Here is a 15,146-nt window from a genome sequence, read left to right as displayed (position 1 = left end):
CAATACTTACTCAGAAATATTTTGGCTAAGTTTCCAGAAGGACCCATCCCAGAAGACCTGTAGGTGTTCCTTGAACAATAGTAAATGTGCTAAATCTGCTATACCAAACAGGTCTACCTGAAATCACAAAAAGCACCATCAGCTAAAATAATTCTCTGCCTCTACCATGGCAGCTTATTTCGGTAGGAAGTTGAAAGGTATTACAGTGCTTAACTAAGTTTATTTTATGACATACATTTTAGTAGACTGTTCCTCACCCTTACAGTAAAGGGAGAAGCTCTCCAAAGAAGTGATCAATAGAGCCAATTCTAGGAATTATCCTTAAGAACAAAAGATGAAATATTTGGACTATCACATTCAAATTTGTAGACCTACTGAGTTTGCATGAACTCCAGCTGTGATCTAAATGGGGTCCACATGATTAGTTCAGGTTTGTGCTACATATTCAATCAGCAAATGTCTTATGTCTAAAGCTGAGTTAGAAGGAATTTCTGCATATAATGCCACCATACAAAAGACTTTACATTTGTGCTAATGTTCTTTTTATATACATTACTTCATTTACTCCTCATAACAATTCTGATAAACACATAGCAGAGACTGTTATCCCTATTTTACAGAGAAGATCACAGAAAATGACTTATAAAAGATTACATGGGTGGTAGGCAGTAGGAGTGGCCCTGGCACTCGGTTACAGAGTTAGTCATGTGTTTGCACATGTATGTGTATATTCTTCAATGCTGTAACACAAAAATGTTACATTTTACTTGACTTGGTGATATTTGAAAACTAGGTCATCTATTCTAGGAGTCGGTATCAGTAAACAGTAGCTTTTATAGCTTATCTAGATAATAAAGAGATTAAGAAACCCTCTCCATATTTGCTCAGGCTTGTTTTACACTTACCTGGTAGGGAGAAGAACAGTTAGCCAGGATCTTTTGTCCTTCCAGGATCTGTACAGTCCGAAAGCCGCTGAGGGTAAAAACATCCAGCTGCACCCTAAGGTCAACACTGTAGGAAAAGTCCACTATCTTCAAAGCTTGATTGTTCTTGTTACAATCATAGGGATCGTGGATTCTGAGCCCAGATTTAAGAGAAGGAGATAATAAAAATAGGCCATGAAAGAAGCTGCATAGCTGGTCTTTAAAAAAAAAAGGTACCTTGGGTACATCTTAGCTATGCCAACAACTCCCTCCAGTGGTTAATTTTGAAAATGCACCTGTAAGACAGAGCAGTGGCAGTGTCCACCCAATGCGGAAGGAATGTCACCACTTTGGTGACACAAAGTATATTTCAATCACGGTGCATGGCCACCATTAAACATTTATCAAGCTTCCATATTATATAAAGTAAGTATGGAAGCAGAGCACAGGCTTCTTCCCTGTACTGTACACATTAACACATACAATTGCAATGATTTATACACTGACAGGAATTATGATGGAGGAAATTAAAATTTTATAGGTGTCATAGCCTTTCTTGTTTACTATTCCAGATAGGCTTTCCAAGTATTGTTTAGATTCTTCCTTCCAGAGTTTAATGGAAAACAATGCAAGTCTGTTTTATAAAGTCCTATCTGTATTGTAAAATTTCTTGTAAAACACCATATTTTATCTTACTCTTACTTGTAATTCCAGTTATTTACTAAAAAAATCTTTATAATACTAATTAATTATCAATTAATTTTGTTTTCCTTGGGTTTATCTATCCTATGCAATAATGCTATTCTCCAAGGGGACATAGGAACTGTTTATAAATGAAAAGAGTGGGTTTTCATGTGTTCCTTTTGTCTGTTTTTCTCAATTAATTCCCTCAAACTCCTGATATTGGTGCAATATTCCTAAATACAGTCTTTAACTACTCCAATTACATACCTCCACGGCACAGAATGATCTATGTATTTTACTTTAAAATTGATAATTGCTCTCATTTTTCCTTGGCACAAGAGCCAACCTTTTTTGGCCACCATAAAACTATACTATAATTAAAAAAAAAAAAAAATATATATATATATATATATATATAGTATATATATAGTTATAGGGATCGTGGATTCTGATATATATAAAATATACATATGTATTTTATATATATATGTAAAGTGTGTGCATGTGTGTGTTTTGTTTGGTTTCTTAGACAAGGTCTACACTCTTGTCACTGAGGCTGGAGTACAGTGGTGCGATCTCAGCTCAGTGCAGTCTCTGCCTCCTAGGTTCAAGCGATCCTCCCATCTCAGCCTCCCGAGTAGCTGGGACTACTGGTGTGTGCCACCATGCCTGGCTAATTTCTTAATTTTTTGTAGAGATGAGGTCTCATTATATTGCCCAGACTGGTCTTGAACTCCTAGGCTCAAGTGATCCTCTGCCTTGGTCTCCCAAAGTGCTGGGATTACAGATGTGAGTCACCATGCCCAGTGTAATTGTAAAATATTTATATAACTTTGGAGGCATAGGGAAAAAATGTCTCATAGATTAATAAAAAGAAGCATGCATGAAGGTGTCCTAGCCCTCTAATCAGCTACTCACTCACTGTTACTTTGGGTAGGACATTCCATTTTTTTGGATCTCATTTTCCTCACAAAAAATATGCAGAAACTAAAGTAAGCAACTAAACTAAGCAATTTCAAAAGGTTCTTTCTGGCTTTTATTTTATTTTTGTAGAGACAGGGTCTTGCTATGTTGACCAGGCTGGTCTTGAACTCCTGGCCTCAAGAGATCCTCCTGCCTCTGCCTCCCAAAGTGCTGGGATTGCAGATGTGAACCACTGCATCCAGCCCTTTCTGGCTTTTGTTGTTGTTTTGTTTTGAGATGGAGTCTCGCTCTGTCACCCAGGCTGGAGTGCAGTGGCATGATCTTGGCTCACTGCAAGCTCTGCCTCCCGGGTTCACGCCATTCTCCTGCCTCAGCCTCCTGAGTAGCTGGGACTACAGGCACCTGCCACCACGGCTGGCTATCTTGTTGTATTTTTAGTAGAGACAGGGTTTCACTGTGTTAGCCAGGATGGTCTTGATCTCCTGACCTCGTGATCCGCCCGCCTCGGCCTCCCAAAATGCTGGGATTACAGGCGTGAGCTACTGCGCCCGGCCTCTGGCTTTTTTTTTGAGACAGAATTTTGCTCTTGTTGCCCAGACTGGAGTACAATGGTGCGATCTCAGTTCACCACAACCTCTGCCTCCTGAGTTCAAGCAATTCTCCTTCCTCAGCCTCCCAAGTAGCTGGGATTACAGGCATGCACCACCATACCTGGCTAATTTTGTATTTTTAGTAGGATGGGGTTTCTCCATGTTGGTCAGGCTGGTCTTGAACTCCCAACCTCAGGTGATCTGCCCGCCTCAGCCTCCAAAAGTGCTGGGATTGATTATAGGCATGAGCCACTGTGCTCGGCCCCTTTCTGGCTTTTAATTCCTTATGAATCTATGTGAAATTTCTGATTAAATTTGATAAGCAGTGACAAAGTAAAAAGCAATGCCTCTTTAATACTATGGACTTTCCTAGAGCCTCTAGTGGCTGAGAGAAGGGTTATCGTACTTCATTAGACCACAAATGGCCAATTCTAAAAGGCTTAGAAAAAACCTCTGCTTCCAATTTCCATAGCCCTGGGAATTTCAGCACTGTCATTTTAATGTTAAGTAGAGTGAAAATATACCAGGGGTTCTCATACTTGGAAATTTGGGGGGATTTTTGGTGGTCACAACGGCTTAGGGGATTGTTACTTGCACTTAATTGGGTGGGTGGGGGGGAATAGGAATATAAAACATCCTGCATTGCTTGGAACACACCTGCACAAAGAATTGTCTCACCCAAAATACCTATGGTGCCCTGGATGAGAAATGCTGCTACATTATGTCTGGGAAAGCCTTTGACTCTGCTATCTCAGGGGAGAAGGTGGGATTCTCTGGTTCTTTTGGTTACAATCACAGGAACACATTGAGGGTTCTTTTAATTTCCACGTTAACTATAATTTAGAGTCTAATTCAATCTCTTCTGATAGATTAAGTATTCAGAAGAAATGTAAAGAGTAAGTCCAGCTATTAGTGTATACCAGTGGCCTCAGAAACAAAGTTAACACCTCACCCAAGACACAGGGTTGGGCAGACACAGCATCTTTAAACCAGGCTGCTTTTACTCAAATACTATAACACCAATGATCACTAAAAGAATATAGTAGTCCTCTAGTACTTTTCACAAAGCAAAAATGTTGGACTGTTTTTGCCTAGTTAATGCCTGAACGTGATCTATATTTTCTCAGTCCTTAGTATTCATTTATTATTTCCTGCTCTGTGCTCACCCCTTGAACCTGATGGACACACTGGGTTTAATTTGAACACTAAACCCCATTCCTTGGCATAGTTTGTATTTGAACTCTGGTTTTACCCACTTCTCTTGGCTAACAGGTCAGTTAGGCCTGACTTAAGCTTTGGTCTATGAAACTGAGTAGTGCCTTGATTTTGCTGGCATCCTCGCTAGAGTGGCACTGGTCCCACTCAAAGAATGACTAAACAATCCACTTTATATTCCTCAAAATATTCATATTTTATATCTCATCTTGACATATATCATCACAATACTCAGTGATTAATTCTTTTATCTGATTTAATCTATTTCCTCAATGTGTTTATTTCTTTGAATTATTTTAAACTATTCTTAATGATTTTTGACTTTTAGGTAAATACTCTCTTAACATAATATGTTCCTCGATATGGCATTTATCAAAAGGCTTTAAAAATTGGCAACTTGGCCGGGTGCAGTGGCTCACGCCTATAATCCCAGCACTTTGGGAGGCTGAGGTGGGCAGATCACTTGAGGCCAGGAGTTTGAGACCAGCCTGGGCAACATGGTGAAACCTCATCTCTACCAAAAAATACAAAAAATTAGCCAGGTGTGGTGGTGCGCGCCTGTGGTCCCAGCTACTAGCAAGGTTAAGATGGGAGAATCGTTTGAACCTGGGAGATGGAGGCTGCAGTGAGCCAAGATCATGCCACTGTACTCCAACCTAGGTGACAGAGTGAGACCCTCGCCTCAAAAAAGAAAAAAAAAAGTGGCAACTATCCATGTTTTAAGAGACAGCTGGCAGAATTATAAGAATGAAAAGGACCAACCTGTTTCTGAGAATCAGACACCTTGGACTCAAGTCACCATGGACTATTTCTGCTTTGTGTAGCATCTCCACTATTGTCAAAAGGTTATAAATAATCAACACTGTTATTTCATGGGTAATATATTCACTGTGTTGGAGAAGATCCTGGAAATTGAAGGACAGAAAACTCACTATTTCTCAAGTTTGGCAGATCGTAGTTATACTCAATACCTTGAAAACTGATGGTTTGTAGTCTTCCTTGTTCTCTACTGGAACGTAGGCACCTCTGTAGACTGAGTCTATGTCCCAGTTTTAATAACACTGCCATCTCCCATAAGATTGTTTGTAAGGATTTAATGACATAATGATGAAGGGCATCAAGCATGAGCCTGGCCCAAAATAGGTACTTAATAAATGGATTTAAAATACCCTCATTCCAACCATTTTTGAGAATTCATATTATCATCAAAATCCATAGCAAACCTTCTTAAGAACAAACCGAAGAGTAAAATGACATATTGTGTCTGGGTTTTAAAAACTATCCAGTGGGGGTAGTATAGCTAAAACAAGAGTGACCATGAGCTAAGATTATCATAGATGACTAGTTCATGGGAGTTCATTGTACAATTCTACTTTTATTTATGCTTGACAACGGACCAAAAAAAGTTAAAAAAATACCAAAGAGATCTTTGGTCAAAATAACGAGAAAATTATCAATGCTTCTAACTTATACTTGAATTGGTCTATTTCTAGAAGATTGACAGGAATTTTGTACTAAATTCCTTTGCTAAATGGAGCACAAATCTCTCTACTTCAGGACTTTAAATTATGTTTTTAGTATTACAGACCTGAAGGGTGAAGCAGTTTATATATTGGTGCCAAACAATACAGCCATCTTGATATTGATAACAGCTGCAAAAATGATCAAAATCTTCATTTAAACGTTCCTTTAACTTGAGGTTGATATAAAAGTCCCATGGGACAGGTTGAGAAGATACCTGTAAGACATTGTATTTTAAAAATAAGTTCAGTTAAGTCTATGGTTATGGCTGGCAGGTTGAAACACATTCCTTCCAGCCCTTCTGATAGAGAAATAATAAAGAGATATTTTTAAAGGCATAAATCTACTATAAAAGACACAATAACAACAAATTCTGGAAAGAGGATAAGCTGGAAAGAGAACAGGAGGTAACAATCCAATTAGAATAAAAACTGATTTTGGCAGAGGAGAAAGCTGAGCTACATTTACACTACAAGGCTATTTTCCTATACTATATAACTGGCAGCACCAATTACCCATGGAAGTGAGGCTGAGGGTGGAGCTAAGACAGGAGTGATTGAATCCCATTTAAGAGGAAGGTAGGCCTAGTGCAGTGGCTCATGCCTGTAATCCCAGCACTCTGGGAGGCTGAGGCGTGTGGATTACCTGACATCAGGGGTTCAAGACCAGCCTGACCAATGATTATGAAGGGGTGAAACCCCGTCTCTGCTAAAAATACAAAAAATTAGCTAGGCTTTTGGTGGCGGGTGCCTGTAATCCCAGCTACGCGGGAGGCTGAGACAGGAGAATCGCTTGACCCTGGGAGGCAGAGGTTGCAGTGAGCCAAAATCATGCCATTGCACTCCAGCCAGGGTGACAAGAGCAAAACTCCGTCTCGAAGAAAAAAAAAAACAAAAAAACAGGAAGGTAGACCCCAGCTTCCCTCCTCTGCTCCCATAGCCCAGCCCAGCAACTACCTCTCCCCTATTCTCGAAGTCCAGAAGTTTATTACCTAGTGAGTATAAAACAGAAGGGCTCTGGACTAGAGGGCACTAGGCACCACTGAGGGGGGTAGAAATAACATAGAAAACAGGAAAAAGTATATATATCAGATGTTATATATGCAGCAGTTAAGATGCACCTCCCTGCTCTTCTATTCTTCAGACCAATTTCCTCACTCAGATTTCAGAAAGCTAGCAGCCAGGCTTATATGCTCCAGGCAGAAAATTAGAAGTCTTCTCTGAGGGAGAAGACTTCTATGATCAGGTCAAGAGAAAGGATCTAAAGATTGGAGGGTTTTCCAATAAAATGGCCAAACTAGATCATCCTACATTGAGGTCCACAGCTGTCAAGGTCTTTCCATATACACAGAGCTTTCAATGTCCCATACTTAAATACGAATAGAGAGCCAAAGACTTGAAGAAAGCCTGTAGTGTGAGAGAGATCAAAACAGACAAAAAAGAAAACAAGAAGAAACAGATGACAAAGGGGTAAAAAATTTTAAAAAGAGCTCTTGAAAATTAAATATAGAAATAAAAACCTAGTAAAAAGACCAAAAATATTAAGCTGATAATATACTCAGAAAGTAAAGTAAAAAGACAAAGAGAGAATATAGGAGAAAAAAAGTTAAATTTTTAGAGGTTCTGTCCAAAGATGCCATATACACCTCTAATAAAAGGAATTAGAGAATAAGAGAACAGAGAAAACTGAGGGGAAAAATAATTTTCCCATTGAAGAAAATTTCTCAGAACTGAGGGAATTAACAGATTGAAATGGCCATTGAGTACCTAGCACATAAGTGACAACAAACTTATGAAAAGGCATGTAATTGTGACATTTCAGAATAGTGGGGACAAGAATAAGATCCTATAAGGATCCAGAAAGAAGGAAAAATAACTTCACACAAAGCTTTGAGACTCAGAATGGCAAAAAAATTCAAAAGCAAAGTTAGATGCCTGTAATCCAGTTCTTTGGGAGGCCAAGGTGGGAGGACTGCTTGAGCCATGAATTCAAGACCAGCCTAGGCAACACAGAGAGGCCCCCGTCTCTACAAAAAATAATTAGCTGGGAGTGGTGGCGTGCACCTACGGTCCCAGCTATTCCAGAGGCTGAGGTGGGAGGATTGCTTGAGCTCAAGAGGTTGAGGCTGCAGTGAGCCGTGATCATGCTACTGTACTCCAGCCTGGATGACAGAGACCGTGTCCTTTAAAAAACAAAGATAAAAAGAAACTAGGTATCCAATATAAGACAAAGGTAATGTGAATACCTAGGATGATAATAAATGGAAATTCCAAGGTGATTGTGTGTGGTGATTGTGTGAAAGCTAATGTATAACTTGTCCAGATTGGAGCAGGCCAGAAAGTATCAGCAGAGATTTCCTAAAAAAAATGAAACTGAAAGGATACTTAATATATTTGGACATATTGAAAGAGATTATTAGAAAGATTTGATGGTAACATGAGGACAGTTATTGCTCCAATCCGTATTATTTACAAAGTAACTGAAATTATAAAGAATCAGTCCCACCTTTATTACTGTTAATTCTGCAGAGTTTCTTGGCGCCACCCAGAATAACTTGTAATCTTCACATATTAGGTATTCTCGTTTAATGCAGTAATCCTCATTACCTGTTGAGAAAGTTTGATTCCATTTAAAAATCACTGTGAACATATACAGCCCTGTAGCTTTTACCTCCTGGTTTAAGGGATAGAGGCACTGGTGTATTTGCCAGTTAGTAGTATCTAGAATACTTTTAAAAATAATTTGTTAAAGATTGCAAGAGGAGAAGACATAATTCCTATTATTAGGACATGAAGTTACTGATGTGTCATCCTCTATATTGCTTTTTTAAAAAATACAATCTAGGAATATTTACAGTGCTCAAGCATCAAGCTTAAGTACAAATAATCACTTATTTGTATACTGTCATGAACCAGAGGACATGAGTTCAATGGTACTTACCTAATTCAATTTCCTTCTCAATTTCCAACTTAGGCATTGGTCTGTCTTCTATACACAACTCTGCAGAGGCACTTAACTCTGGTAGGGACTTCAGTAGCTGTCTGCGATACTGTGAACACCATGGTGACTGAGTAGGGTTTTCTGCCAGTGGGAGGGAAAGGTGAAAATATATCACCAAAAAAACCCTAATGCTTAAAATGGATATTATAACAGAGTAGAAGAAAAAAAAAATCAAGATTACACAGTCAGCACTGTTAATTTAACTACACTCACCTGTCTCAGGTGTTTATGAAACTGTGTTCACTTCGTACTAATCTACTCTAGAAATTTCACAATTTATGGCAACTTCTTTGAGACGGAGTCTCGCTCTGTTGCCCAGGCTGGAGTGCAGTGGCGCCATCTCGGCTCACTGCTGCAAGCTCCGCCTCCCGGGTTCACGCCATTCTCCTGCCTCAGCCTCCAGAGTAGCTGGGACTACAGACACCCGCCACCATGCCCGGCTAATTTTTTTGTATTTTTAGTAGAGTTGGGGTTTCCCCATGTTAGCCAGGATGGTCTCGATCTCCTGACCCTCGTGATCCACCCGCCTCGGCCTCCCAAAGTGCTGGGATTACAGGCGTGAGCCACCGCACCCGGCCGGCAACTTCTTTAAGAAGGAAAAACACATAGACTGGGCATGGTGGCTCACACCTATAATCCCAGGGAGTGGGAGGCTGAGGCGGGAGGATCCTTTGAGGCCAGGAGTTTGAGACCAGCCTGGGCAACATGGCGAAACCCCACCTCTACAAAAAATACAAAAATTGGTGGTGGCACAGTTGTGGTCCCAGCTACTCGGGAGGCTGAGGTAGGAGGATCACCTGAGCCCAGTGAGTTTGATTGTGCCACTGCACTCCATCCTGGGTGACAGAGTGAGACCCTGTCTCAAAAAAAGAAAAACATACAGCTCAGTTTGCTGAGATAAACAAGTGTTCACTAGGCATGGATATAGTGGTATGTATATCCTACCTGAAGTCTCATTAGTAAGTTCTAGTTTCTCAGGAATTTGAAGACATTTGATGGAGGAGGTGCTTGCAACCGAGGCAGAAGAACCAGAGAAGCCAGAGGAGTGTGTGGCTTCACGACTGTCTTCAATAATTGGGCTAAAAGAATCAAAAATAAGTTAATTCTTATAGGAATAATATATATCAACTTTGTTATAATTTCATAAATTCTTAATGTATACATTTTTCTTTTTTTTGAGATGGAGTTTTGCTCTTGTCACCCAGGCTGGAGCACAACTGCATGATCTTGGCTCACTGCAACCTCTGCCTCCCGGGTTCAAGTGATTCTCCTGTCTCAGCCTCCTGAGTAGCTGGGATTACAGGCACCTGCCACCATGCCCAGCTGATTTTTGTATTTTTAGTAGAGACAGGGTTTCACCATGTTAGCCAGACTGGTCTTGAACTCCTGACTTCAGATGGTCCACCCGTCTCAGCCTCCTAAAGTGCTGGGATTATAGGCGTGAGCCACTGCACCTGGCCTTAATGTACACATTTTATAATTTTATGTTATTCTTTTATTTTTTAACACAATAAAATTTAGGTTTAAATAATTTATAATTTGTTATCAATTTATTTGATAGCCTCATTTTTTTTTTTTACTTTTCATTTTATTTTTGAGACAGGATCTCATTCCGTCACCCAGGCTGGAGGGCAGTGGTGCGATCATGGCTCACTGCAGCCTTGATTTCCTGGGCTCAAGTGATCCTCCCACCTCAGCCTCCCAAGTAGCTGAAAGGTTGTAAAACAAAAAAGCTAATATCTGGGACTACTTGGGAGGCTGAGGTGGGAGAATCACTTGAGCCCAGGAAATGATAGCTGGGTGAGTGCTACCATGCCTAGCTATTTTTTTTTTTTATTTTTATTAGACACAAGGCATCACTTTGTTGCCCAGGCTGGTCTTAAACTCCTGGCCTCAAGTGATCCTCCCACCTTAGCCTCCCAAAGTGCTGGGATTACAGGCAAGAGCCAATGCACTCAGCAATAGTCTCATTTTTCAAGTCCATTATTTCCCCAAATCAGAATCTAGGTAACCTCCTCTAAACCTGGTGAATAAGCCATGTCCAGCATACATTTCTGGATTTATGCTTTATTTACCTATAGTAAATATCTACTCTATATTCCATAATATTGAGAAACACTAACATTGACACTTTCTTCCTCTTTATCCTTTCTCTGGACTTTTTTTTCTTCAAGAAGAAAAGGTTAGGCAAAGAAAAGAGAAACCCAAATCATGCAATGTGAATACATGCTAGCAAATGTGCTTAAAAGCCTGTAGGGAAAAAGTTTCAAAAAAAAGTTTTTTTGAGTACAGCCATGTTGACCAGGCTGGTCTTCAACTCCTGGCCTGAAATGATCCGCCTCCCTCAGCCTCCCAAAGTGCCAGGATTACAGAGGTGAGCCACTGCATCTGGCCTCTCAAAATGTAGCTTTAAAAGCAAAAATTTGCCAATTACAAAGAATTCCTAAAACTGGAATTAGTTAAATTAGCTGACCTAAAACAAGTGTCAGACCCTGGCCATAAGCCATTCCCTCATATCTATTCCATAGTTCATTTCCACCTCTCTATCAAAAGATAGTTTTTTAAAAAACACATCTCTAGTTGCCTATTTAAAATTCACATAAGCTGGCCAGGCACAGTGGCTCACTCCTGTAATCCCAGCACTTTGAGAGGCCGAGGCGGGTGGATCACCTGAGGTCAGGAGTTTGAGACCAGCCTGGCCAACATGGCGAAACCCCGTCTCTACTAAAAATATAAAAATAAGCCAGGCATGATGGTGCGCACCTGTAGTCCCAGCTACTTGGGAGGCTGAGGCAGGAGAATCGCTTGAACCCGGGAGACGGAGGTTTCAGTGAGCTAAGATAGTGCCACTGCACTCCAGCCTGGGCGACAGAGTGAGACTCCATTTCAATAAATAAATAAATACATAAAATTAACAAAAGCTATCCTACCACTATTTTAAACTCAATATTAAAGAAAAACTAAATGCCTCCTTTTCGTCAGTCATGTACACTTTGCAAAGTTTCCTCAATGGTACTATACTCCTCTCGGACCACTTAGTTTCTCTACCATCAAAATTTACTTTTAACCCTCACATCCAAATCAATCACTAAATCCCATTGACACTTCATCTGGGGCAGCCCTACTCTCATGTAAAGCACTTAGCACAGTACCTGGCAGTTAGTAAGAACTTGATAACTGATTACTGTAACTGACAAGCACATGCAGAATAAGAGAGTAAACAATCTGGTTTGTAAAACCTGTAAATCCCCAATCACCTCAGCTTCTTGATGCTGAGAGTCTGACTGTAGATAGTGCCACAAGCTGTCTGCTGGTCCTCAGAGGTCTTTACATCTAGATCTTCTTCCGGTAACAGTCTCTCAGGATCAGAAGGGAGATCCTTCAAGGACATTATCTCATGAAAAGGAGTGGATACAAAACGAGCTGCTCTGGCAAAGTCACAAGTGTCTTCTGGGTTAGGACAAATTGTTACATTTCTGAAGCCTGTGATAATGGCATCCTCGCTCAAGGGTTCAATTCCTGTAAATTCATCCTGAAATAAAGACCATATAAAGTTTAGCTAAAATATTTCAATACATGAAGAACTTTTTTACTGAGAGAGACATATTAGCTCAGTGACACAGGGTACAGAAATAGCATATCAGAATATCTAGGCAAATATAAAAAGGTTTTTATATCATGAACACAGTAAACTATACTTCATCCAAAAAATGTACCAGGAAGATTCTCCATACAAAGAAAAATATTGGGCAATGGTTTTGTTCCTCAACAAATTTCACCTATGAACTAAAGCACAAATACTATTTTTCTTCTGCTTTCACTTAGTAAATATTCTAATGATTTGCTATCCTCCTAGTTTTTAGGTCTTCTTCCTCTATGCTACATACCTAATTTTTATTTATTTCTTAAAGACAATTCATGTATGTCTGGTAGGATATATGCATAGCATATTCTATGCATTTGAAAAGCAGTTTTACAACCAGTGAAACTGTAGCATTCATGATACTCTGTATTGCTCTTTCTCATACTTTTTGTATTTCTTCCTTCCTATGCTATTAAAAATTCTTTAAAAACATAATGGCCACATTGTGGGTCTATAAGAAATTAACCAACTTTCAGGTTATTCTGTTTTTTACTAGTTTAAAACTACTTTATCCTTATACATAAATCTTTATAAATCCTTTAATTTTCTTAGGATTAATTCCTAAAAGTAGAATTGTAAGGTCAAAAGGTTATAAACACTAAAGTTCTTTATCTATATTACTTAGCTGTCCTCAGAGAGATTATACCACTTTACATATTTACCTGTAGTATACAAATAGTGCCTATTTGATTTAACCCATATGGATACCAGAGATTAATTTTCTAGATCATTACCAATTTGACACATACTTTGAATTTCTGACTTAGTAACTAAAGGTGGGAGGTACATCTGGAAGAAACAAAGTATAGTTAAAAAAAAAATTATAGGCCGGGTGCAGTGGCTCACGCCTGTAATCCCAGCACTTTGGGACGCTGAGTTGGGTGGATCACCTGAGGTCAGGCGCTCGAGACCAGCCTGGCCAACATGGCAAAACCCCGTCCCTACTAAAAATACAAAAATTAGCTGGGCGTGGTGGTGGGCGCCTGTAATCCCAGCTACTCGGGAGGCTGAGGCAGGAGAATTGCTTGAACCCAGGAGGCGGAGGCTGCAGTGAGCCGAGATCACGCCACTTCACTCCAGCCTGAGTGCAAGAGTGAAACTCAGTCTCAAAAAAAAAAAAAAAAAAAAGATTTGGCCAGGTACATTTGCTCACACCTGTAATCCCAACACTTTGGGAGGCAGGCTGAGGTGGGAAGATCACTTGAGCACAGGAGTTTGAGACCAGCTTGGGCAACATGGCAAAACCCTGTCTCTCCAAAAAATAAAAAATTAGCCAGGCATGGTGGCTCACACCTGTAGTCCCAGCTAATTGGGAGGCTGAGGTGGGAGGAATGCTTGAGTACAGGAGGCAGAGGCTGCAGTGAGCTGAGATCATGCCACTGTACTCCAGCCTGGGTGACAGAGCGAGGCCCTGTCTAAAAAAGAAAAAGAAAAAAATATATATATACATATATATGTATTTATATATGTGATTAAAGTAAAATAGATGTTTATAATCTATACATTTTATGCAAATACTACTTATGGCCATATTAGCTTAGACATTTTAAATATGATTTTTTTAGGGGATGAAAATTCTGGTAGGTACTTATTAACAAAATTCAAGTAAAAGACTGGTTAAAAAAAAAAAAAGGTAAATGAAGTTGGACTCCTTTAACAATTAAGCATATCCTTGAACAGCTGAATCTAGAACCACTGTATCCAAATCTAGCCTGTTCATCATGTTCTCTGGTGGTTTACTCCAGAACACAATATGTAATTAATTACTCTTACATCACTGTCTTTTCATAGCAGTCAGTAGACTAACTGTAGCAGAATTATCTGAGAAAGTATTTTTAAAAAGACAAAAATACATGCTTGGACTTCTTCCCTGGAAATTCCAATGGCACCTAGATGGAATGGGGCTTAAGCACTGTTAGTCACAAAAGACTCGCTAGTCTCTTCTGAGTTGATGGAAATATTCTGTATCTTGATATGGGAAAAAATTGCATGGAAAAATTCATCTAGCTGTACAATATTTGTGCAGTTTACTGGATATAAAATATACATCAACAGAGAAGAAACTAAAATGAAAAAGTGCTTTTAAAAAACTTCCTCCAAATGATTCCCTAGGATGTGGAAAACACTGCTTTAAGTTACTAAAGCTACTGCTCACATCACCCCTTAAAAGTCTTCAGATTAAACATACTCAATTCTTTTCAGTCTCATGACAAGCTTCCAGAGGCTGGTTTGAAGAGAATGATTTTTCCTCCTTAAAACTTTAATAAAATGCCAATGATACAGGTTATTTATTTTGACTTAAATGTCTACACAGGGTCTTTTTACCTTAAGTATTATGTCATTAGTCTATAGCGGTTAATATAGAACATTACTGAAGAAAAATGATTGGCCCACATAACTTTTGCATTGCCAAAAAAGGTATTTTATATAAAAAAGAACAAATGTCTTTTGCTATGTTGGTTAAAAAATTAAAAGTACAAAAGGCTTTAAAATTAGTGATTTTTCCCTACTTATAAAAATTGAGATATAATTCATATACCATAAAATTGACCCTTTTAAAGTATATTTCAGTGGTTTTTAGTAAATTCACAAGGTTGTACAACCATCATCACTATCTAATTCCAGAATACTTTCATCACTCCAAAA

The 15,146-nt window shown here is 39.3% G+C and overlaps 2 protein-coding genes and 1 long non-coding RNA gene across 4 annotated transcripts in view; 1 reads left to right on the top strand and 2 right to left on the bottom strand.

Moving 5' to 3' along the window:
* Window positions 1-1,145, bottom strand: part of BUB1B-PAK6 (BUB1B-PAK6 readthrough) — a 60,060-nt gene extending 58,915 nt beyond the window's left edge. For both annotated transcript variants that reach the window (NM_001128628.3, NM_001128629.3), the window contains exon 1: window positions 906-1,145. The gene's annotated coding sequence lies outside the window, so the exon portion shown is untranslated. The remainder of the gene's footprint in view (window positions 1-905) is intronic.
* The window catches only part of BUB1B (BUB1 mitotic checkpoint serine/threonine kinase B), a 60,055-nt gene that overhangs the window by 2,551 nt on the left and 42,358 nt on the right, over window positions 1-15,146 (bottom strand). Inside the window, exons 15-22 of the mRNA NM_001211.6 lie at window positions 12,115-12,389; window positions 9,803-9,936; window positions 8,798-8,938; window positions 8,363-8,463; window positions 5,925-6,074; window positions 5,099-5,241; window positions 906-1,077; window positions 11-117 (exon numbers count right to left, since the gene is read on the bottom strand). Of these exons, the coding sequence (NP_001202.5) occupies window positions 11-117; window positions 906-1,077; window positions 5,099-5,241; window positions 5,925-6,074; window positions 8,363-8,463; window positions 8,798-8,938; window positions 9,803-9,936; window positions 12,115-12,389 (1,223 nt within the window). The remainder of the gene's footprint in view (window positions 1-10; window positions 118-905; window positions 1,078-5,098; window positions 5,242-5,924; window positions 6,075-8,362; window positions 8,464-8,797; window positions 8,939-9,802; window positions 9,937-12,114; window positions 12,390-15,146) is intronic.
* Window positions 1-15,146, top strand: part of LOC107984763 (uncharacterized) — a 67,810-nt gene that overhangs the window by 21,129 nt on the left and 31,535 nt on the right. The gene's annotated exons all lie outside the window — the stretch shown is intronic.

Source organism: Homo sapiens, chromosome 15 (genome assembly GCF_000001405.40).
Source record: "Homo sapiens chromosome 15, GRCh38.p14 Primary Assembly".
Classification (NCBI taxonomy): domain Eukaryota; kingdom Metazoa; phylum Chordata; class Mammalia; order Primates; family Hominidae; genus Homo; species Homo sapiens.
The sequence above is the reverse complement of the archived record's forward strand: the minus strand, read 5'-3'. Positions and strand labels throughout refer to the sequence as shown.